The sequence below is a fragment of the Homo sapiens genome, chromosome 8 (genome assembly GCF_000001405.40).
Source record: "Homo sapiens chromosome 8, GRCh38.p14 Primary Assembly".
Classification (NCBI taxonomy): Eukaryota; Metazoa; Chordata; class Mammalia; order Primates; family Hominidae; genus Homo; species Homo sapiens.
The window spans coordinates 10201371-10225326 of NC_000008.11; the positions used below are offsets into that span (position 1 = coordinate 10201371).

The 23956-nt window shown below is 41.5% G+C and overlaps 1 protein-coding gene across 9 annotated transcripts in view, besides 1 other annotated feature; it reads left to right on the forward strand.

Annotated features, from left to right (window-relative positions):
* Nucleotides 1-23956, forward strand: part of MSRA (methionine sulfoxide reductase A) — a 374600-nt gene that overhangs the window by 147079 nt on the left and 203565 nt on the right. For all 9 annotated transcript variants that reach the window (NM_012331.5, NM_001135670.3, XM_011543822.3 and 6 more), the window contains one exon: nt 6463-6531. In NM_012331.5, coding sequence (NP_036463.1) covers nt 6463-6531 — 69 coding nt within the window. The remainder of the gene's footprint in view (nt 1-6462; nt 6532-23956) is intronic.
* Nucleotides 8421-8470: an enhancer, noted in NCBI's record as "active region_26989". NCBI's record gives its function as "activates an Ori minimal core promoter by ATAC-STARR-seq in GM12878 lymphoblastoid cells {active_cell/tissue: GM12878}" and the evidence as "EXISTENCE:reporter gene assay evidence [ECO:0000049][PMID:35858748]".

The following is a 23956-nucleotide window of genomic DNA, read 5'->3' on the forward strand; positions in this document are numbered from 1 at the left end:
CAGTCCTGAGATGATTTTGTGTCTAGTGGCTAACCAGGACTCCCAAGATGGCAGCTGCTGTTCCTGGAATCTCCAGTTAGGTGGTGTCCCCTGGTCACCCAGTCCCCACTGCTTTCCCCACCCTCCTTACCCAGAGGATACGAATTTTAGGTGTTCCCAGTTGAGCACAGGACAGGGAGCTCATCCCTGATTGGTTTATGCCTGATTTTGCATTATTGTAGATGTGTTACCAAGCAGTTTTACTGTGCCCTTTTCAAGGAAGAAAGTCATACAATTTGAAGTGCATGAGACATTCACAAAACAAAATAAAAAGCAATGTCAGTATCATCTTCTTAAGCTTTTGAACATGTCCCCCCGATCCCCTTCAACATCCAGAAGTTGACTTTGACCCAGTCTTGGTCTAATTAACTGCTACTCTGCAAGCACTGCGCTCTCAAGATGAATGAAAATCTGTTTCTTGTCCTCATATCTTCTTGGTGGAGGACACGTCACTGCCATCAGCAGAGGTTGTCCTCCCAGAGCATGTGGCTTTGGCATGTGCCCCTTGTAGCAGAGAAGGGGCTGGGGCATGTGCCCAACCCACCAGTTGGGAGGCACCCACTCTGCTATGGCTGGGTAACAGATGTCCCTGTTGGAGACTCTTGTGTCTCCATTTGACACTCTACTGGTAATCAATAGTTAGGGCTCAATTAATGAATGGCTTTTCTGTTTAATAAATTTGTTTCTGTGGTGAAACATGCCATTGATTTTGAAACAAATTTGTAAATGGTGGGTTAGGTTCCCAGGTTAGCCCACCCTTCCCCCATATCTTACTGAACCTATACGAAGGGTTTAAAGGATCTTTGGTTCTTTGGCCCCCAAATACTTGCCTTAGCAGAATTTCAATGAGAAAATGTCTTTAAAAACTCCACCTTGGTTTCTAGGAATAGAGCTGGGGTCATTTCTTGGTTGTAAAGAACTTGCTATTTTCCCATTGTGGAGTGGAAAGTAGCTCTCAGATTTCCCCTTATTCTTTTATCCCTAGAGCAATATATAGTGTGGGGGATTTTCAGAGGTTTGTTATCACAGTGTAGAAATGAGAAGGAAAATGACTTCTTCCCCTGTGCCATCTTTGTTTTATCCATTTAAACCAGCAATGGCAAAATGATTTCATCACACATGATGCCTCTAAGCGATGAGACTCTATGGGTACTGTGTTGAGAAAAGATTCTGTGGGCACATTCAGGGATCAAGAAAGTATGCTGTGTTTGATTAGTGATGTCTGCCATGGGCATGGTCGTGGAGGGGAGGTGACTAATGTTTATTTGCCGTTCCTGAAACAGACCTGTTGGAAAGTAAAGTTCACACAGGTGATAATACCAGCCTAACTGTTATATAGAGTTTGTTATGTACTGGACACTGTTCTGAGTGCTTTTTGTATTTAATTCTCAAAACACCCCATGAAGTAAGTACAAATGAGGAAACTTAAAATGAAGAAATTCTTACAGATGAGGACACAGAGGCATGAAGAGGTTGAGTGACTAAGCCAAGATCATATGGGTAGGAAGTGGGAGAGCTGAGAGTCACAGTCAGGCCGTCTTGTCCTGGATCGCCTGTTCTTAGCCACCAGTTCTGTCCTGTCTCCTGCTTGTGAGTGTTGTGCCTGCGGTCCACAGGACTGATGTAAGACTCAGCTGTATTTCAGTAGAAGGTGCAAAATCACGTTTTAAGAACCTGTTATCTTTGGGCTTCAGGCTCTGGAATTAAAGACAAGACAAAGCCGCCAGGGACCTCATGAGTGATGAGGGAATAGCAAGTGAACTCCCTCCACCTTCTCCAATTCATGCAGTATTTCTGGTCTTTCCATCTCAGCCAGCACTGCCCACCTCTCAGTTGAGACTAGGTAAATGGGAAAGGGAAGAGGGGTTGAGATTTAAGGAGTGGAATAGAGGAGTTCCCTTGTATCCAGGTCACCTGGCTGGGGAAACTATTTCTGAGGGGCCATTTTCAATGATCATTTTATGTAAGGAACACACGCATGTACACATAAAGATATGTAACAGTCATGTGCCACATAACAATGTTTTGACCAACAAGGGATTATGTATATGATGGTGGTCCCTTAAGATTATAGTGGAACTGAAAGATTTTTATCACCTAGTGACATTGTAACCATGGTGACATCGTAGCACAACACATTATTCATGTATTTTTGGTCACACTGTTGTAAACAAACCTACTGCACTGCTAGTCATATAAAAGTTCAGCACATTCGATAATGTATAGTACATAATAGTTGATAATCATCATAAACAATGATGTTACTGGCTTATGTATTTGCTATACTATACTTTTTGTCCTTATTTTAGAGTGTGCTCCTGCAGTTATAAAAAACTGTAAAATAGCCTGAGGCAGGTACTTCAGGAGGTGTCCAGAAGGAGACATTGTTACCATAGGAGATGACAGCTCCAAGCGTGTTATTGCCTCTAAAGACCTTCCAGTGGGACGAGATGTGGAGGGTGGAAGACAGTGATATTAATGATTCTGATCATGCTTAGGCTTAGGCGAATGTGTGCATTTGTGTCTTAGTTTTCAACAGAAAATTTAAAAAGTAAAAAATGAAAATTTTAAAAATAGAAGTTTTCAACAAAATTTAAAAAGTAAAAAATGAAAATTTTAAAAATAGGAAGAAGTTTTCAACAGAAAATTTAAAAAGTAAAAAATGAAAATTTTAAAAACAGGAAGAGCTTATAGAATAAATATAAAAATATTTTCATATAATTGTACAATGTGCTTGTGTTAAGTTATGTTATTACAACAGTCGAAAAGTAAAAAATAGTTTAAAAGTTTATAAAGTAAAAAATTACAGTAGCTGAGGTTAATTTAGTATTGAAGAAAGAAAATTTAAAAAACAATTTAGTGTAGCCTAAGTGCGTGATATTTATAAAGTCCGTGGTAGTGTTCAGTAATGGCCTAGGCCTTCACACCCACTCACCACTCATTGACTTACCCAGAGCAGCTTCCAGTCCTGCAAGCTCCATTTGTCATAAATACCCTAGACAGGTGTACCTTTTTTTTAAATCTTTTATACTGTATTTTTACCGTACCTTTTCTGTGCTTATAGATATCTAGATCACAAATACTTATCATTGTATTACAGTTGACTACAGTATTCAGTATAGTCACATGCTGTACAGGTCATAGCCTAGGGGCAATAGACTATACCACATAGCCATAGCTTAGGTGTGTAGTTGGCTCTACCATCTAGGTTTGTGTAAGTGCACTCTGTGTTGCCCAATGACAAAATGACCTGACAACACATAGATTTCCCTGAATATATCCCTGTTGTTAAGTGATGCATAACTGTATATATGTATTTTTAATGGATCAAATAAGTTATCTTTCATAATGGCTAAAGAGAGATTTTTTAGTACCATTTACCTCACTCGTTAATTTAACAAATACTCATCAAATGCCCGTTCTGTGTCCATACGCTGAGAGAGGATTATGGAAATGGGGAGTCAGAGAGCTACGACCCCTGCCCTCCCTGAGCTTGCAGTCTACTGATAGATGCAGTCCCTGTACAAACAGTGGCATAAGTGCAAAGTGCTACTTGGGTGAGTGCTGCAGAGGAAAGGCCCTTGGTCCTGAGGGATCAGGGTGGCTGTGGTGGATGGATGAGGGATGCTAGTGTTCTGACCATGCAGGTGCTTGCAGGCCATGCCAAAGAGCTTTGACTGTGGCCTGAGAGTCATGGGATGCCATGGAAGGGGAGGAGGGGTCTTGGAGTTTGTGTCACATGATTAGATTTTTTTCCCTTTGGAAAGATAATTGTGGCTACCTTGGGAAGAATGAATTGGACAAGGGATATACAAGAGTTAGAAGGCAGATGTCGGAGTCCGGAAAAAGGGGTCATGACATTTGGGGCTAGGGAGGCTTCGGTAATGAAAAAAAGAAGTGAGGGGGATGCTACAGGTGTCTGGAGGGGGACAGTCGCTGGCTGTGGTGGCAGATTGGATGTGGGGAGTGAAGGAAGAGAAGGGATAAGGACAGTTAGAAAGCAGGAGCATGGCAGGCCCATTCCCAAAGGTGGGGGATGCTGGCACAGAAGCTGGTTTGGGATGGGAGGACATCCTGTGTAGTTTTGCGGTGTTCAGAGGAGATGTCAGATAGGGTGCACTTTGGATTGTGAACATGTGGGTTTCAGCTGGGCCATCGACAGACCTTGATGGATTGTCCTGGGAAACCAACTACTGTGGAAAAAATAGAAAAATCTATAATTTTCATTTGTTTGAATTCAAACATTTTCACCCTAGACAAAAAGAAAAGAATCTAACAATGAGAAAGGAAATAAATAAAAATAAATGTCTTGCATAGTCTTTGTGTTTTCATTTTTATGTTCTTCTGCCAGTCTTTTCACATAAATATTCATATTTTAATTAGTTGTCATTATAGTCTATGTAGAAGTTGTAATAGGATTGTGTTTCCTTACCATTATCCCAAATATTTTCCCACATTTCTGTATCTCTCTCAAGGCTGCATTTAAAACATGTTGGGTAATATTCCATTCATTTGATAAATCATAAATGGTAATTTTCTAAGCAATTCCTCTACTTTTGGATATTTAGTTGATTTTAAGATTTTGTTATTACAGGTAATACTTTCATAGATATTATGTGTATCACCTTTTCTTCTCGTGTGTTTTTTTCTTAAGGTGTATTCTTACGAGTGGGATTCATGGGTTTAAAGAGTTTGGTTTCTGACTTGTGATATGGGTCAAGGCAAATGTTTTCCAAACCACTGACAGGGCTGTGAGGCAAGAACGAAAGGGCAGATCTTTGATCTCCACACGGAAGCTCAGCATGTTTATTTGAATTCAGTAACCAGTGGTCCTAACCAGATCAGTGAATGCTTGACAGGGTCCTTCCATCACACAGCTGGGACCTTCCATCACACATCTGCTAATTGTGCCAGTTAGTGGCTACAGACCTCTATAAGGCCACTGAGCCCACCACCTTGCCCTCAGAACCCTGGGCTGGGTTCTCCCTTTTCCCAGGCTTTTTGCTTGTAGGAATGCCACAATGACTTTACAACCAGTGGAAGCCCCAGAAGGGAACTGATGGAATCCCTAAGGGCTACAGGCAGCTTCCCATGGGTTTGGATGGGTGCTCAAGATCTTCCGTGACCTAGTCTCGGTCTAAGAGATTTACTTGCCATTGCTTCTCAAAATAGCACCTCCACTGCACCAAGACAGATTGTTCTCTGGCCCGGGAAGATGACTCCTGGCCCTCACTGAAGTTGCTCTCTCACCCTTGCCTTTGCAAACCTGACTTCTCCTTCGGACTCCAGGAGTGGCAGCGCCTTCTGGCAGCACATCTGACTTCCCACCCAGCTCTCCTGCTACAATTACCTGCACTCCTGCAGAACCCTCCGTCCACATGGCAGGACTTAGCACATAATTATATGCCTTCTTTAATGTTTGTTTTTGCAGTTGTTATTTCTTGAAGATAACTGTACTCTCCTCGAGGGCAGGAACTGTGTCATCCTTCCCTAGACCCCTCCAAGCGTGGCTTCAGTGCTGAGCCCTTTGCCTGAACCCAGCCAATCCAGTGTGACCCATTACATCAAAGCGTCTCTGCCGATGATGCAGTGTGAAGCGTCTTAGCTATCCTTTTCTTTTGTGTTTTCCACATAAGTGCTCCTATTCAAAACCTGCTGAGGATATTATTTAGAAAATGCTCATAGATGGGGAATACTCATATTGTCTATTGATCACAGTTTGGGGGTTGTAAGATCAAGTTAATGCTGGAAAACAATAACCTGGTCACTTGTTACTTCCGAGTCCTCAGTGTTTACTAGGGTGGGAAGGGTGACTGGTTAGGAGGACCTGGGTGGGGGGATAAGGAGCTGTAGGAGGCACTGGAATATCTCTCTGGCTCTTAAGGAGGCTGGTGTCTTTGGCCTGGGTGAACAGTGCTTGTACTGTACTGAAATGACATGTTCTGCTATTGTGTTTTTTGAAAAATTGCTCCCAATGGAACCTTGCCCTTTTTACTTCTCACTTTAAATACTGAGTGCATCAGTGTTCTGATTGTTAGGAGTCTGCAGGGGGACTCACCCCCAGTTCAGCCTGGAAGTTGGAGCTTTGCTTGTTTTTTAGAGATGGTGTGGCAGAAGAGGGACTCTGGCTGGGTGTCGGGAGCCTTCAGGCCCGGCTGGGTCTGTAGCCACCCATTGTCCAGCTCTGCACAAGCTCAGACCTCAGCCTACTCATTTATAAAATGACATACCTGAACTAGATGATCTCTAGGCCCTTCTGCAATGGAGATGAAAAACAAAATAATTGAAGCTCTCTTCAGAGGGTAAGCTTGGGTGCATTTTTAACTCAAAGGAGAAATAGGCTCATTGACACATTTAATGACATGTGTTAGTATGTGTTAGAACTTTACACTTAAACTTGCATTTCTTTTTTTTTTTTTCTAGCCAAACATCATGTCAATGGCAACAGAACAGTCGAACCTTTCCCAGAGGGAACACAGATGGCTGTATTTGGTAAGATATCAATTCTGAAAGAAAACCCAAATTGTGTGCAAAGACTAGTGCCAAATTTCTTAGTTTTAGCAAGTGTTCTCAGGGCTTCAAAATCTGGGCTCTTCTAGATATTTACAAGTTGTTACAGCCAAGAAAACTATTGAGTTCCTAGTAATTTCTGGGGTTGGAAAAGCTTATTCTATAGAATTTAGCGTGCTTTATTTTCTCACGTTGACAACCACGTATCAAACTGAGTATTTGCTATTTCTTATGTCCACACTGTGAATTAACCTGCTAATTTAGGGTTTGAGTTTTTCTTTGCTAGCACGGATTTTTTTTTTTTCCACATAGATATATCACTTTGTTAAAGGCTGGAATTTAAGTAGTTTTGACTTATTATTACACAAAGATTAATCTAATTGAATGATCTCTTCCTTCTCCATCATGAATTAAGCACGCTCCTTAAGAGAAAACATTAATTAAAAATGTTTTCAGCAAAGGCCAATCCCTGAGTGATATACTTAAAATGTACAATTATGTGGTTGAGCAGAACTTCTCTGTTAAAATTCCAAACTGTTTGGTGAAGAGGTCCTTTTTAATCTGTGTTTCCTTCCCTCCATGCCTCATGTCATCTAAACTTCCTTCAGAATATCTCTGCACATGGCCCTTTCTTTGCCTGCCTTCTTTTCTCCATTCTTTCCTTCCTTACCTCTTCTTCTGTTGGGCCCATCTCCCACCTCCCCTCCCCTTCTCTCTAGCAGTGCTCTGGGGTTCATCCCTGTGTTACCCACTGAAAATGACGACCTCTGTGCTCTGGAATTTCAACTGGGCATTCAGCTGCCTCCCTTGGTTCCTTCACCTCCACGTTTAGACAGGTTCTGTGATGTCTCTCATCCTAAAAATGTGAGGTCCCCTGATTTCACGCCTCCCGTAGCTTCTCTCCTGCTCTGGTCTTGATGGTAATCTCCTTTGAGGGTACAAAACTGCTTTGAAGACTTGAATTGCGTTTGAACTGGAAATTAGCCTCAGAACAACCTGGTCTATAAATGAGCACACTGAAGTTAGATTGTTCCCTTATTCCCAGAGATGGAACCAGAATTAGGCATCAGTGAGGATTAGCAGCTGCAGAGTCATAAACAGGGACCCAGTTCCACCTCAGTGTTGGTAAATCATGCTCTGTGTAGGCTATCACCTTTTAAAACATACTGATCAGTGATGAGAAATCATTATGCCCAGAAATTTAAATGGAGAAGTTGATTTTGTAGAAGGCATAATGGCCTCTCTAAACCATGTGCTAAAACGTTTGATTTGCTAACTTTCCTGTCCCAGCATGGTGTCTGTTATCATGGGACAGCAAATGTCACATATATCAATGTTCAAAGGGGTCTTTTGATGATTTATTTATTTATTTTCCAGTCTCTCAGATTCGCCAACCCCAGGCATATGAGAAACTAAGTCTTATGTCATATTGGGAAATAGTAAATGACACTAACCTATTATTAGTGGGTTTCCCTCTGTTGTGATATTGAAGTAAAACTTCTTTCTTGAAGGGCAGATTCAGTACCAGATGGGCTGATGACATTGTTTGACTACAGAATTCGAAATAACAGGGAATGAGGCTCTGTGGCAAGTCTTTCTTTTCTTTTCTTTCTATTTTTTATTTTATTTTATTTTATTTTGCAGTGGGGGGTTGCAGTGGAAAGATTTGGTTTATAGCGGCTTCCTCAACATTCTTCCCCAAGGCCCTCATTGTTTCACTTTCAGCGGGCAACTTCCCCTCTCTAAGCCTCCGCTTTTCGATGAGGAGGCTGACAGGTGAACTCTAAGGCCTCTGCAGCTCTAGGCCCTTGGCCTTTACCTCTTACGCCTTCAGGACTGAAAGCTCTTGGAGCAGGGGGCAGCCCCTGGGAGGCCCACTGTGCATGGCCAGCATGTGTGGTTTTAGAAGAGATGAATCATGTGCATAATTTCTACAAGTTAACAACATATAAGAAGCAGAATTCTACAGATGATAAAGTAGAATATGTTTGACATCTAAGAATTCTTACTTTAGAAGTGCAGTTTAGCTCTTCCAGATGCTTAAATTAAGGCCTTATTTTGGTTAAGTATATGCAAGCATTTTATATTAATGTCTTCAAGATGATCCTCACTTTCTATCACTTGTCGCCCTGGGCTAGGGTAGAGTAGGGGATTTGGGGGGTTTTGAGGGTGGACTTCTGCCATTCTGGGTTGTTTATCACTGCAATGGAAAGGTCAACTCAGCACAGTGCTTGACTCTTTGGGATACATTGGGCATTTCATCCTGCCAGCCTCTTGCAAAGCTGATGGACTCATATACTCCTCTTCCTAGCGAGGCCATGTGACTTATCCAGAGCCACTTGGCCAAGGAGGTGGTTGGTGGAGCTACAGTTTGAGCCCAAGTCTAATTGACCTGGAATCTATGTTCTTGTTGTGATGTTCCCTGACTCTCTCTGCACTGGTTCAAGGAACCATGGGAAGGCCTTATAGATTCAGGGACACCTTTCAGCTGGGTCCACACACAAAAGTATGATCTGCAGCCAGGCCCATTTAGCAAATCGATTTGTATACTTGCATGCCTTCCCGGAGTGCTCTGAAGGAGTCTTGAGAAGTAGCCTTTGCTGGGAGAATACTGGTTGGAGCAAGATCTCCTACGGCTATCATGCTTTTCCATTTGACCACAGTAGCATGTATTATTAATGCACAGGAGGATGTCTTACATTCCCTTGACTGTGAGTTCATCAAAACAGTGATGGCACTTGTAATTGTTTAGACCCGTTCTTCAGCCTTGGAGGTCTTCATATTTTGTGATAAAATAGTATCACTAATTATAATGTCATTTTTTTTTTTTTTGAGATGGTGTCTTACTCTGTTGCCCATGCTGGAGTGCACTGGCACGATCTGAGCTCACTGCAACCTCCACTTCCCGAGTTCAAGCGATTCTCCTGCCTCAGCCTCCCAAGTAGCTGGGATTACAGGTGTGCATCACCACGCTCACCTTTTTTTTTTTTATTTTTAGTAGAGATGGGGTTTTTCCATGTTGGCCAGGCTGGTCTCGAACTCCTAACCTCAAGAGATCCGCCCACTTTAGCCTCCCCAAATGCCGGGATTACAGGCATGAGTCATCGCACCCGGCCACAATGTCGTTATCTGTTGGTTAATCATTTGAATATACCTTACCTTTAGAATGCTACCGAAATAAGAACTTTGAAATGTAATCCACTCTACAGATGACCATTGAACTTCCATGAAGCTTTTAGATTAGAATGTGAAATGTCAGGAAAGACAGATAGAGTGTGGGATAAAGGCATTCCAGTGTGAAAAATGCATGAATGGTCATATCAAGGGATCAGAGAATAGATAGATGATTCCTTAAAAACTGTCGCTGGCATACAGTCTTCACAGATTTTCTTATGTAGCCCAACAGTTAGTTTTTCTCCTGGTCTCCTTTTCTCTCTGGTTTTTCTGCCCCCATCATTCTTAGCTTCCTCTGTGGCTCTCCCTCTCCTCTGCCCTTTTGGACAATGAGAACGAAGGTAATAGGCTTGGTCCTCCTTGGGGGCTTCTCCTACCTGTGTGTGATGCTGTCTTTCAAGTCAGTGGGAGCCCTCTGCTTGCAAGCTGGAAAAGTGGAGCCACACATTTTGCAATTACTTCCTGTCTTTGTTCCTGGTAGCTGTGAGTGCCCCCTTGGCTCTCACCCATTTGATCTTTAGAGCGCCCGCCCTGTGTAGTGGGCATCATTGTGCTCCTTTATAGGCAGACAAACTGAGGCACCCAGAGATTAAAGAAACATGGCCGAGGCTTCCTCAGGTATGAGAACATCTTTTGCCACCCTGCTGGGCCTGTCTTAGAAAGGTTCTCTCTGGCCGTCAATATCTTAATGAAAGTGACATTCCGTTGGCCACGGTCCACTCTGTCCACGTGGAGGGCCGGGTTCCAGCCTCTGCAGAAGTGCTTGTTCTCAGCACAGACCAGCTACTCATTGCCTTAAAAATACTCCATAGTCAAGAAGATGGGTAATTTCACGAGAAAATCAAAGCTTACTAATTTAAAAGGGTGGAAAATGGAGGGCAGGGGATTCCAAGCTTAATTTGTGAAGATTCTTGGTACAATTAAAAAATATTTTATATAAAATATTAGCTGGGTATGGTGGCATGCACCTCTAATCCTAGCTACTTGGGAGGCTGAGGCAGGAGAATTACTTGAACCCAGGAGGCGGAGGTTGCAGTGAGCCGAGATCGCGCCACTGCACTCCAGCCTAGGTAACAGAGCGAGACTCTGTCTAAAAAAAAAAAAAATTTAAACTTTACTATCTTTGAACATAAATTTGTCATCCAAACTAGGATACATTCGAGAGTAAAAAGAGTGCTGTGAACAATTATACTGAAATAATGAAATAATGAGGGATAAACCTGGAGGGTTTTAGGCAATTAGGATATAATGTCCCCCTTTAACGAGGTTGTATATTATAACGTATTGCACCAAGAATAATAAATACACACCAAGTTAAGTAGAAATGGAAAAATAATGAACTTGGATAGACAAAGTGAACAAATGGAAAAAATTGCAATGACATAGATTGGATTGTATATAATGTCACATCCACACTAGTAGTTACGCTAACTTTGGAAATTATATTCAATAAATATTGTTGTGTTCTTCCTGAATAACTTCAGTTTGAAAGTTAATGCGTATTCATAAAACCTAGTTTGTGATACTTCAATAAGAGTGAGGGAATTGATCTGATTTTACAGTTGCAGTTTTAATATTGTACTAATACTTTCCAGGGATGTAGGGTAATGAATTCTCCATTACTTGAGATATTCAGATGGTAGAGTGGTCATCCTTAACCAGTTTGGAGGTGGGGCTATGTAGCCTTTAAAACCCTTTGTTCTCAATTACTGAGAATTGACTTTGTTTTGGAACACTGAAACATTTAAAAAAACATTCTGCTAAGTCAAAATTCTTTGAACCCATCATTATTTATTTTTTAATTTAAAAGTTTTGTGGGTACATAGTAGGTATATATATTTATGGGGCATGTGAGATGTTTTGATATAGGCATGCAGTATGTAATAATCACATCATGGAAATGGGGTGTCTGTCCCCTCAAACATTTATCCTTTATGTTACAAACAATCCAATTATACTCTTAGTTATTTTTAAATATACAATTAAATTACTACTAACTATAGTCACCCTGTTGTACTATCAAATGCTAGGTCTCATTCATTCTTTCTCACTATTATATTTTGCATCCATTAACGATCCCCACCTTCTCCTGTACCCCTACTACCTACCCTTCCCAGCCTTTGGTAACCATCATTCTACTCTCATCTCCATGAGTTTAATTGTTTTGATTTTTAGATCCCACAAATAAGTGAGAACATGTGATGTTTGTCTTTTTGTGCTGGACTTATTTCACTTAACATAGTGTTGTTGCAACACTATGTTGCACTATGCACTATGACAGGGTCTCATTCTGTTTTATGGCTGAGGAGTACTCCATTGTGTACATGTACCACACTTTCTTTTTTTTTTTTTTTTTTTTTTTTGAGACAGAGTCTTGCCCTCACCCAGGCTGGAGTGCAGTGACGCGACCTCGGCTCACTGCAACCTCCGCCTCCTGAGTTCAAGCAATTCTCCTGCCTCAGCTTCCCGAGTAGCTGGGATGACAGGTGCGTGCCAACATGCCTGGCTAATTTTCTGTCTTTTTAGTAGAGACGGGGTTTCACCATGTTAGCCAGGATGGTCTCGATCTCCTGACCTCGTGATCTGCCTGCCTCGGCCTCCCCAGGTACCACATTTTCTTTGCCATTCTTCTGTGGATGGACACTTAGGTTGCTTCCAAATCTTGGTTGTTGTGAATAACTGCTGCAGCAAACCTGGGAGTGCAGAGGTCTCTTCGATACACTGATTTCCTCTCTTTTGGGTACATACTCAGCAGTGGGATTGCTGGATCTGAAGGTGTGAACCCGTACCATTTGGGAACTCACGTCCAGGCTTTTTGGTGAAAGGTAAGATTCTGCAGTGAGAAACCTTAATGTTGATAAATTGATACCAAGCAGCAACAGCAGAAGTACCTCTGCAAATTCTTTGGGTTGTCGTGAGTTTTTAGGCTCCTAGTAGCCTGATGGCAATGTCTCTCTGACCTCAAACCACTGGAAAACATGTTTTCCGGGTCAGATTCTCTGAAGATTCTTCAAACAAGAGTGGGGAGCAAAAGCCAAGCCGAGGACTTAGGAAAATGTGTTTTTTGTCGCACGGCACATCTCTTTTGACAGCTAAGGTGCCGAGTGTTCGCGTGACCTTTTTTTGAACAGCTGTGTGAATGGACAGGTCCCGGAGCAGGGGCCCGTGGCTGACAGGAGCCCAGAGACTTGTCCCTCTCTGGGGTACTCACCTTCGGCCCCTCCAAGGAGAGTGAGATCAATGTAAGATGAACCAATCACAAGAAATCGTTTCCTGTCTGACATGAATGGGAGGTGAGTTTTGAATCAGCCCCGGTTATTTGTCTGCCAGCCAAGAAAACAACATTGGAAGCAGCCGGCAATATGTCAGACTTCAAAGGGAAGTGTCTTGGTGTCTCACTGGCACATATCCAGCATGATGTTGGTAAATAACCGAGTCCCGGTGTGGCGTATTTCTCCCTGAATCTTGACTGAAAACTACTGAAGCCCATTCTGTGAACTCTGGAGGGGCAGCCACTCATTCCAGGAAAAAGGCCAGAAAGAATGACATTGAAATGTGTTTATAATTAGCGAAACAATCTAAATTCACAAGATGGTCAGAACTGCAGGCTGCTAACTGGTGCAAACTTCTTAAATGGTAGAACACTTGGAGAGATAAAAATAGGCCTTCCTCCCTGGGTAATTTGAAGCAACTTGAGGGGGCAATGGTCATTGGAGACATAGTTTAAGATGCATTTTATTTTATATATCTTGTGCATGATTTCAACTTTCGTTTTCTTCTTGAGTGTAGAGAAGTCAGATAATATAGAGAAGGAGAAAGAGACCTTTGAAAACCTGTGTTGAAAATCTCTTTTGGTTTGGAAAGCATTGGCTGGGATGGTGCAGCCACGTTGACCTGGGCTGGTCCAGAAAAGAACAAATTATGGAGTCACAGAGGAGGGTGGGTTCATATGTTTAGAGTATGGAAGGTGGACTGTAGGTTGGAGGATGGCACAGAATCCATTGTAGAGGGGAGTAAGTTAGAGAATGTTTCATATAATAACACTTTACTTGTATAGAGATCACTTATCCATGAACTTCTCCCATTTCGGTTGTAAGTAAGAACCAGAAAGTGAAGCCCTCCTCCCACAAAAAGGTTATGGAGGAGTCTGTAAAGAATTCAGAATTCCCAAAGGTCACTGGAGTCCTGTAATCCTTGTTGACTCTAGACAAGTTTCTTCCGCCTTCTTAAGCCCCATCTCTCATCTGTAACATGACAAGAAAACTGTTTGCCACCTAGGACTGTTGTCAGAGTGTCAGGAAATGATGCATTGGCCCCTTGGCATGGGGATGACAGACCAGCCGGACAGGTGCTCCCTGGCAGACCACCTGCTCTCCTCACTCTGGGTGAGCTGTGATCAAGTCCCCGGGAGAGTGACGCCAACATCACTAGGCTCTATGGGATCCATCACCTCTCCTTCATAACACCAGACGAGTCCCGTAACTCAGGGATTTTGAAGGATAACAGACAGCATTAGTTGAGAACTCACCTAATATTGGCTGGGTACTGAGAAGCCCATGTTATTAAACTCTCTATCAGGCTCACTCTCACCATGTGTCCAAGTGAGACTGGTTGTTTGCTTCTGTGTCAATACAGAGCTCTCAGAAAATACTATATTTCTCTTTTGGCCTCAACTGTAAAGCTAATCAGATGTGGCTAATTTTTTCACTTTTTGCAGTAGTGTACAGCAACCACCCACTTGACTGACGTTTTTTCCTTTAAGTTTTGACAACGAGAAAGATTTATTTTACAAATGTGGCGGACATTTCTTAAATTTCTACAGAGAAAATACATTCAACAGGATGTTCAGGAGAAACAATCAAATATTTTCTATTACTTCTCTGTTAATTAACTTTTTTAAGAAGAGAAACATAGGTATAGAGAACAACTAAAAGGAAAAAAGTTACTCATTATTAAATTTAACCCAACTAGCATTTTTAAGAAAAATACGGAGCAATCAAGGATCAAATTCAGATAATATAAAACCTAATATTATTTTTCTTGTTCTCATTCTCCCCAGCCATTTATCTTGGGACTTGTTATAAAATGGATTAAAGGAAAATTAAAATATATGCAAGACACAGCCAACTAACATGCATTAGAATTAGGTAAATATTAGGCCAAAGGAAAAGAAAGTGAAATGAAATACACAAAGAATGCATGTCATAATCTTACATAATTTATAAAACTTGCTCATAAATTTGGCTCTATGTTTCCTAGCAGCAACATGAAGAAAAATCAGTTGGTTGCATGATGGACTTCATTTTTAAAAAATTGTGGTAACAGATACATAATATGAAATTTATCATTGTAACCATTTTTTAAGCGTATGGTCCAGTGGTGTTAAGTACCTTCACATTGTTTTGTACCCATCACCACCATCTAGCTCCAGAATTATTTTATCTTCTCAAAGGGAAGCTCCATAGACACTAAACACCGTCTAGTCCTCCTTCCCCCAGCCCCTGGTAACCTCTATTCTACTTCCTGTCTGTCTAAATTTGACTACTCTAGGGACCTCCTATAGATAGAATCATGCAGTATTTACCCTTTTGTGACTGGCTTATTCTACTTCGCATAATGTCTTCAAAGTTCATCCATGTTGTATTGTGTATGAAAATTTCCTTCTTATCCCATTGTATCTATAGACCACATTTGGTTTGTCCATTCACCTGTCAATCAATACTTGAGTTGCTTCCACCTTTTCGCTGTTGTGGATAAGGCTGCGATGAACCTGAGTGTACAGATCTCTCTTCAAGTCCCTGCTTTCCATTCTTTTGGGTGTATACCCAGAGATGGAATTGCTGGAGCATATGGTAATTCCATGTTTAATTTTTTGAGGAGCTGCCATATCATTTTCCAAAACGGCTATACTTTTACATTCCCACCAGCGAACCACAAGGGTTCCAATTTCTCTGTATCCTTGCCAACCCTTGTTATTTATTTATTTTTAAAAATTATAGCCATCCTAATGGGTGTGAAATGGCGATGGATTTCAGTTTTACTTACTGATTCTAAAAATGTACACGTTTGGGGGAATCACACATATTTTGGATTCTGGAACCAGAAAGAAATTTTTCAAGGGTACTTAGGAGGACACTATATGTACTACAAGGCATTTAGGCAGCACTGCTGATGGCACCCTAGGAGTGAGCGGCGCGCAAGTCTCGTGGCTGTTTGCCACACTGCTCTTCTCTTTGGGCTCGTGACCCTCTCCCCACAAGGGACTATTTGGTCCTTGCATCTCTGCAGGTGCTAGCGTGCTTGTCTGCTGGCTCTGGTTTAACCCAGAAGTTAATTGCGTTGTATCTAAAACAAGCAATGGACCAGCTGTCTTCTAGAAGATTTTCTGTCAATATCATTTCTCTCAGTTGAGTTTTAAAAGGTATTTGTTTTTTACTTTGCAATTGTGAAAGATTTCAAACAAAAATACAGAGCTTAGTATAATGAAGCCTTGCTCGCTCAGCTTCCACAGGTCTCAGTTATGGCTAAATGTGCCTTGTCTACATCCCCACTCCCTCCCCCTCTTCTATCCTAGCATATTTAAAGCAGATCTCAGCTGCCCTATCAACTCATCCATGAATATTTTGGTATATATCTCTAAAAGATAAGATGGATTTTTTACACCTAAAATAATACTTTTTAAATATCATCAAATCTCCAGTGAGTCCATTTCCCCTGTTGCCTCATAAATGTTTTTTAAAACTGTTTATCTGAATCATGAGCCAGATCGCGTATACATTGCAATTGGTTAATATAAATAGTTTCTTTTCATCTGTAAGTTCACCCTTCTTTCTCTCTTTCCCTTGCTATTTATTTAAGAAATTAAATAATTCAGCCTGTCCTATTTCCTTTAGTCTTGACCGAACGATCATGTTCATTTGTCCTCTTGTATTTTCTACAAACCGAGAGTGAGAGGGCTGATCAGCATCTGTAAGTGGTGGTGTGTTTCATTCAGGAGGCATTTAACACCCGGTTCCTTTTCTATTTATTTATTTATTTATTTATTTATTTATTTATTTATTTATTTATTTTGAGAAAGAGTCTCACTCTGTTGCCGAGGCTGGAGTGTAGTGGTGCGGTCTTGGCTCACTGCAACCTCTGCCTCCCAGGTTCAAGCGATTCTTTTCCTCAGCCTCCTGAGTAGCTGGGATTATAGGCGTGCACCACCACACCTAGCCAATTTTTGTATTTTTAGTAGGGATGGGGTTTCACCATGTTGCCAGGCTGGTGTCTAACTCCTGAACTCAGGCGATCCACCCGTCTCAGCCTCCCAAAATGCTGGGATTACAGGTGTGAGCCACTGCGCCCGGCCCTGGTTCCTTTTCTTTTGGTGAAGTTAGCATCCCCTTACTGATCATTGCCTCAGTCCATTATTTTCTTAGAAACTGCAAGATATTCTAATTCTAGCATTTTTTAAATTTGTGAGCTGAAATATTTCTATAAATAGAGACTTCTCTTTATCAACTGTATGGTTACTGTGAGATCCAGTTTGCTGAAGAAAGCAGGATAAGTGGTGATTTTCCTTATGTACCATTTTGCTCCATGTATCTGAGCATGGCTCTAAACGTGTATTCCCAAGTGTCAGTGTATATATGGATAGTTGTTTAAGTCAAAAGCCATTTAACAAGGGATAGAAACTGCCTTAATTTGACGGAATGACCATTTTCACTTGGGCGTTTAACCAGATTATTGAAATTTGTAACCAGTTGGGTGAATACTTGAAAATAGAGCCACAGTACAGATTGCTGCAACAGATTTGAGTAAAGCAAGAAGCAGGCACACTGTCAGGTGGCAGAAGGCAGGTTCTCAGGCAAAGCTCTCTCCACGGAGCAGCGATCTTCTCTCTCGTTCTTTCCCCAGATCTTGTGACCAGGGGATGTGCTGCAGTGCAGGTTTGAGTCCTGACCCTCAGTAGCTCAGGTTTAAAAAAGCAACTCCAGAGAGGGCCTGAGGGTTGGAGGAGGTCTTGCTTCTAGATGTGCAATGCCTTCAAACTGTTGAAATGATAGAAATGGAGAAGCAGTCAAGAAATTACAAAGCCTGCTCAGGGATGCTGCCCATAGCGAAGATTAACAGCTGGGCCATTTCACCTGGAGCGCTTTTTCACGCCTCTGCTTAATATCGTGAATGAGTTTGAGGGTAGCAGAAGACACTCCCCAGAGTGGATTTTCCATACTTCCAGTTCTCACAGAAGGTGTAGGTAAAACTGTTCGTGGTTATCACTGCCAAATTTTTGGGGATTCAAGAAGGGGAGATATTTACTGACCCACTTCTTTTTTAATCTCATACACATCTCGTGTATGTATTTTTGTAAGTGGTCTCAAATTCTTTTTTGGAACAGTGTTGTGTATGAATAAGGTAAATAAAAATAAAATAATTCCCATGAATGAAATTTGGCTGGGTGCGGTGGCTCACACCTGTAATCCCAGCACTTTGGGAGGCTGAGGTGGGTGGATCACAAGGTCAGACTGAGACCATCCTGGCTAACACGGTGAAACCCCGTCTCTACTAAAAATACAAAAAATTAGCTGGGCGTGGCGGCGGACGCCTGTAGTCCCAGCTACTTGGGAGGCTGAGGCAGGAGAATGGGGTGAACCCGGGAGGCACAACTTGCAGTGAGCCAAGATCGCACCACTGCACTTCAGCCTGGACGACAGATCGAGACTCTGTCTCCAAAAAAAAAAAAAAAAAAAAAAGATATTTGTTAGGTCCAGTACAATGTACACCTTTTTGGTTTTTTTTTGTTTGTTTGTTTTTTGTTTTCCCCTGGTAGGCAATCAAAATCAAACAGTGCCAGTTCTTTTTTTTCAGGAATAACTGGAAATGTTACCACTGAAAGCCTAAGAAGTGGGATTCAGTTGAAGCAACATGGTTGAACCATGTGGAGAAACAGACGTTTAGCTTGGCATACCTTAGGCCCAAGTAGTGTGAACAGTGATGCAAGAACCTGTGAACTTTCCCTACATTCTTATGTACAGAGTCTTAAAAGCCCACGATCATTGTATTATTCTATGTCCATAACCACTAGGTGTTATTAGGAAAAACACTTTTCATCTTCCTGGGTCATCAGTGTCCCAGACTTACACAAAGAATTATATTTGACCAAGACCAAGTTTCCTTGCTGAGCTCACTGACCTTGGGAGCAACAGTGGTGCCTGCAGATGGATGTCTTTCTGATGGAGGTCCCACCCTATATCCTTCCAGATTTCAGCTGGGATTCCAACATTCATGATAATATGGAAATAATCAGTGATACATCATGGTAGACATTACCATGAAGAAACTCAAAACAATCTTTCAAAAATATGCTTAGCATAAGCTGAGTGAACACATAGTCAGATGTGGCCTTCCAGAACCAAGCCTACTCAGGGTGAATCAGCACTGTGTTTTCTTAGGAAAAGAAATTTTATTTTATTTTTTTGCCATATGCCTGTTGTCTCCTAAAAAGTCCTTTGAATCGCATTCATGTTTTTATGTGATGACCCTTTTCCAGTTTCCTAATTTCCATAATTCTGCCACTTGTCAGGTCACGATGGAGCTGTTTCTAGTGGGAGCCTGCGTCCATCTTTCTTCCAGCACCCTTATATGGATTCAGTGCTTGGTGACATTCTTATTACCCTTTCTTTCACCAGCATTCTGTTTCCTCAGCATATGACCTTTGTCAGGGTGGCAGTGGGCACTCACATTGGGAAGCATGGAAGAGTTTTGATTCATCTTACAAGGACATTAAGGGAGGAGGACTGGGGAGGGTCGTCTGGGGAATTTCAGGAATGTGATGACACTAGGAGCAGGAAGTGACAGCTACCTGAGGACAGATGAGCCCAGAAACCCTTTCCCGTTCCTTGCTCTTGGCTGAATAACTTGTGCCTGGCGGGTGTGTCTTTGGCCAGGCCTCACACTGACAGCTCTGCAGTACAGATATGCAGTGGGATGGCCACATGATGGGGAAAGCCCAATAGCATGGAGTCTGTGTGGGGCTCTGCTTTCCCACGTGCAGAAAATGAGAGCCGCCTTCCCGAGCAAATAGCCAGTGCATGCTTTTATCCTGCTGCCAAGACATAGGTCTGCAGTGATGCATAAGAAATGACCAGACATCTGCACCAACTGAATGACAAACAGCTTTTCAATTGCTGTGAAGGTTTTGGTAACTGTATTGAAGTTTTTGTCCCCATTTTTTCTCCCATGTAAGACATTTTTAATCTACCTTGCAATGAAGAGGCTGTTAAACACTTGTACCAGCACCACCCAGCTTTTCCATGTCTATATTAAGCTACATATTATAAATATATATATGTATATATGTGTATATATACATATATATATTTGTTCTTTACACTTAACTCTGAGATGAGAAAACTAAGGCTCAGAGACATTGACTTCCCCAGGGTCAGGCTACTAGTTAATGGCAGAACTAGTTAATGGCCTGGCACTGAGATTATTTATTCACATGTTCATCAGATGGTTTATTTATTGCAACAGGAAACAAACAAAAATCTCTAGCAGCTTATACTCCAGTAGGGTGGGACAGAAAATGAGATAAATATGTAAAGCATATGGCATGTCAGATTATGATAAGTGCTGTTGATTAAAATAAAGCAGGGAAAGAGAATAGGAAATGCTAGGCTAGGTTGAGGGGTTGTAATTTAAAATAACATAGTCAGAGAAGTCATGAAGGAAAAATACCTGAGACAGGTTGTTTTGCACAGATTTATGGAAAAAGTGTCCCAGGCAGAAGGAATGCAAGTACAAAGGCCCTGAGGCAGGAGTGGCGGAGGCCTGTGTGGCTGGCGTGTAATCAGCAAGGGAGGAGGAGGAGCAGCTGAGGTCAGAGACTACGAGATCATGAAGGGCAATTCACAGGTAATTCGTGGGTAATTGTGGGGACTTTAACATTTATTTTGCACACTATAGGAAGTCTAGAGGGTTTAAGGCAGAGGTATGACGTGACTTTTTTTTTTTTAAAGCCACCGTGAGTGCTCTGTTGAAGATGGCATATTTAGGTTGGTGAGAGATGCAGCAGGAATACCACTTAGGAAGCTATTGCCTCCTAGTTCAATACTTTTGGCTTTTGAACGTAACTACTTTTAATAATAATACAAAAAAAGCTTTAGGCCTTTATAGACCTTCTCAAATGCCATATTTTCATAGTTTTGTAAGGTTTTCTATCCCTCTGTTTTGAGAATTTAAATAGCCCTTTTAAATGACACATTAGCTTGGCTATTATCAAAAATTCAAAAGATGGCAAGTGTTGGTGAGGACTCTCACTGTTGGTGGGATTGTAAATTGGTACAGCCATTATGGAAAACAGTGTGGAGGTTTGTAAAAAAATTTACAACAAGACTATTATATCATTCAACAATTCTACTTCTTCATATCTAAAGGCAATGAAATCACTATCTCAGAGATATTCATACTCTCACGTTCATTGAGGCACTATTCACAACATACAAGATACAATGTCCATCAGTGGATGCATGGATTAAAACCTGCGGTATATATACACAATGGAATACGATTCAGTCTTAAGAAAGAAGGAAATCCTGTCGTTGGCAACAGTATTGATTAACCTGGAGAACATTATGCTAAATGAAATAAGCCAGGCATAGAAAAACAAATAGTGCGCGATCTCACTTGTATGTGGAATGTTTAGAAAAGTCGAACTCATCAAAGCAGAGAGTACAATGATGGTTACCAGGGGCTGGAGAGATGTTGGTCGAAGGGTACAAAGTTTCAATTGGACCTGAAGAATAAGTTCTGGAGATCTTGGTGACTATAGTTAATAATAATACATTGTACACTTGAAAATTGCTAAGAGAGTAGATTTTAAATGTTCTCACCACATAACAGTGTTAAGTGTGTAAGGTGATAGGTATGTTACTTAGCATAATTTACTTATTCCACAGTGTGTATATATATCAATACATCACGTTTTACACCATAAAATTGTGTTTGTCAATTAAAAAGTAAATTTATAAAAAGTGACACTAGCAAAACACAGATACACGTCCTTCCTAGAGAGTATTTAGGTATTACTATTGCTTTACTTGCAGGTCAATATTACCTGCATTTTTAGATAGAATGGTTTGATTTAAACCACTCAGAATCATGTTGAAAGTGTGCATTGGATCTCATACAAAATGGGTCACTTCATGAGAGTTGAAGTTGAGAAGCACTTCAGATTGTACTTCTGGTATACTTGGAATGGAGCACAGGGCAAAGGAACATTGTAATGTGATTTAGAATATGAAATCAGTGCTTGAAATAAGACTATAATGTATCGATGAAGTACATCAGCATTTGCGTCTATCTCTTAACTCTTTTACCTCCACAGACCACTGGGATAGAATGTCAGATATTGGTTATCGGCCACATTTGGGCTTCAGTCAGTGAATTTGAAGACAGGTCAGTAGAAATTCTCCAAACTGTAGCACATAGAGAAAAACTATTGTTATGGAATGAACAGATCGTCAGTGATTGGGAGAGAATGGCAGGTGGTGTAATGTATGTGCAATTGGAGTGTCACCAGAAGCCCAGACAGATACTGGGACAGAAAATGTATTTGAGGAAATAATGACCATAAATTTGATGAAAAATTGTAGGGGTGTAGTTAAGATGAATGCCAAATCTAGATGGTTAAAGGCAGGGGTCAAATCAAGACCATGGTACAAAAGATTTTGGGTGGGGAGAAAGATGGGTATAAAACGTGAAGACCCATCTTACTCAAAGACCGCCCCTGTTTCATTTCCCCACTCCGAATTCCTTTTAGAACAAATGGGTTTTGGTGACAGTGTGTTCAGATGGAATACTCACAGACTTGGACTCACACCTGGGTTCAAATCCCAGCTCTACCTAATCTAACTAGTTCTGGGTCCATGGCAAATCACTATAGTCTGCATCCTAGGATCATCATTTGTTCAATGGAGATAGTGATATCTCTTTGGCAAGGCAGGTCTAAATGGTGTAGAATATGTACGTTTTATAGGGTGGTGATGCGCACATCATAGCTAGGCCCTTAACAGATAGTAGCTTCTTCTCCCACCAAACCAGTTCTTTTTGTGGTTATCTGGTGTCACCGTTCACCCACTTAGCTATAAACCAGATTAAGAAAATTACACTTTTTACAAAGGGCGTGAAGAACTATGGAAATGATAGGATCATCTTTGCATGTTAGAATGATTGCTCCAGCCTGAGTGTGAAGAATGGCATGAGGGTGTGAGACAAGATTTGAAGAAACCAGATTGAAGTCTCTCGCTACAGCCCACACACCTCTTCATACCCTTCCCAAACAAACAACAGTATTCTCCTTTTTCACAAAAGAGCTTGATTTTCCTATTTAAACCACAGCCTCAACTATTACCAGAAGAAAAAAAAAGACCAAATAAAAATTATCTGGGTCCCCTTTTCTCAAGAGCAGAGAGGGCACACTCTTTAATGGGTTAGAGATGGGGGCTGGACCAGGTGGTAGTCTTGTGTATGGAGTCCAGTGGACAGAGCTGAGAGTCCCTCTACTGACAGTCCCTGGATTCATCACCACCACATTTCTAAGAAATCTGATTATTACCTCCCCATCAGAGAGAGACACTCCTCGTGGTACAGCTGTGATCATATCATTCCTTTGCTGGGGAAATCTTGGTCACTAGAAAGATTCCTGCACTCCTTAGTCTGACATGTAAGGTTCTGCAGAACCTAATTTCAATCTACTCTCCTAGCCTTTTTTAAATGAACACTACTACTAGGGCCGGGCGCAGTGGGCTCACACCTGTAATGCCAGTACTTTGGGAGGATCACCTGAGGTCAGGAGTTCAAGACCAGCCTGGCCAGCATGGCAAAACCCATCTCTACTATAAATACAAAAATAAGCTGGCCGTGGTGGCGCATGCCTGTAATCCCAGCTACTCCAGAGGCTGAGGGAGTAGAATCGCTTGAACCCAGAGGCAGAGGTTGCAATGAGCCGAGATCGCATCACTGCACTCCAACCTGGGTGACGGAGTGAGACTCCATCTCAAGAATAAATAAATAAATACATGCATACAACTTCTCACCCAACCTGTGTTGAGGCCTTGTCATCTCATCCCTTACTCTAACCACTGCACACCCTCCCATGTATTCAGTTGAAACCCTACTCTTCCTTGAAGTCTCTGTGACTTTCCTCAGTCCTTCCCCCTCAACCCTTCTTTGTGCCTTTGTTTATGGG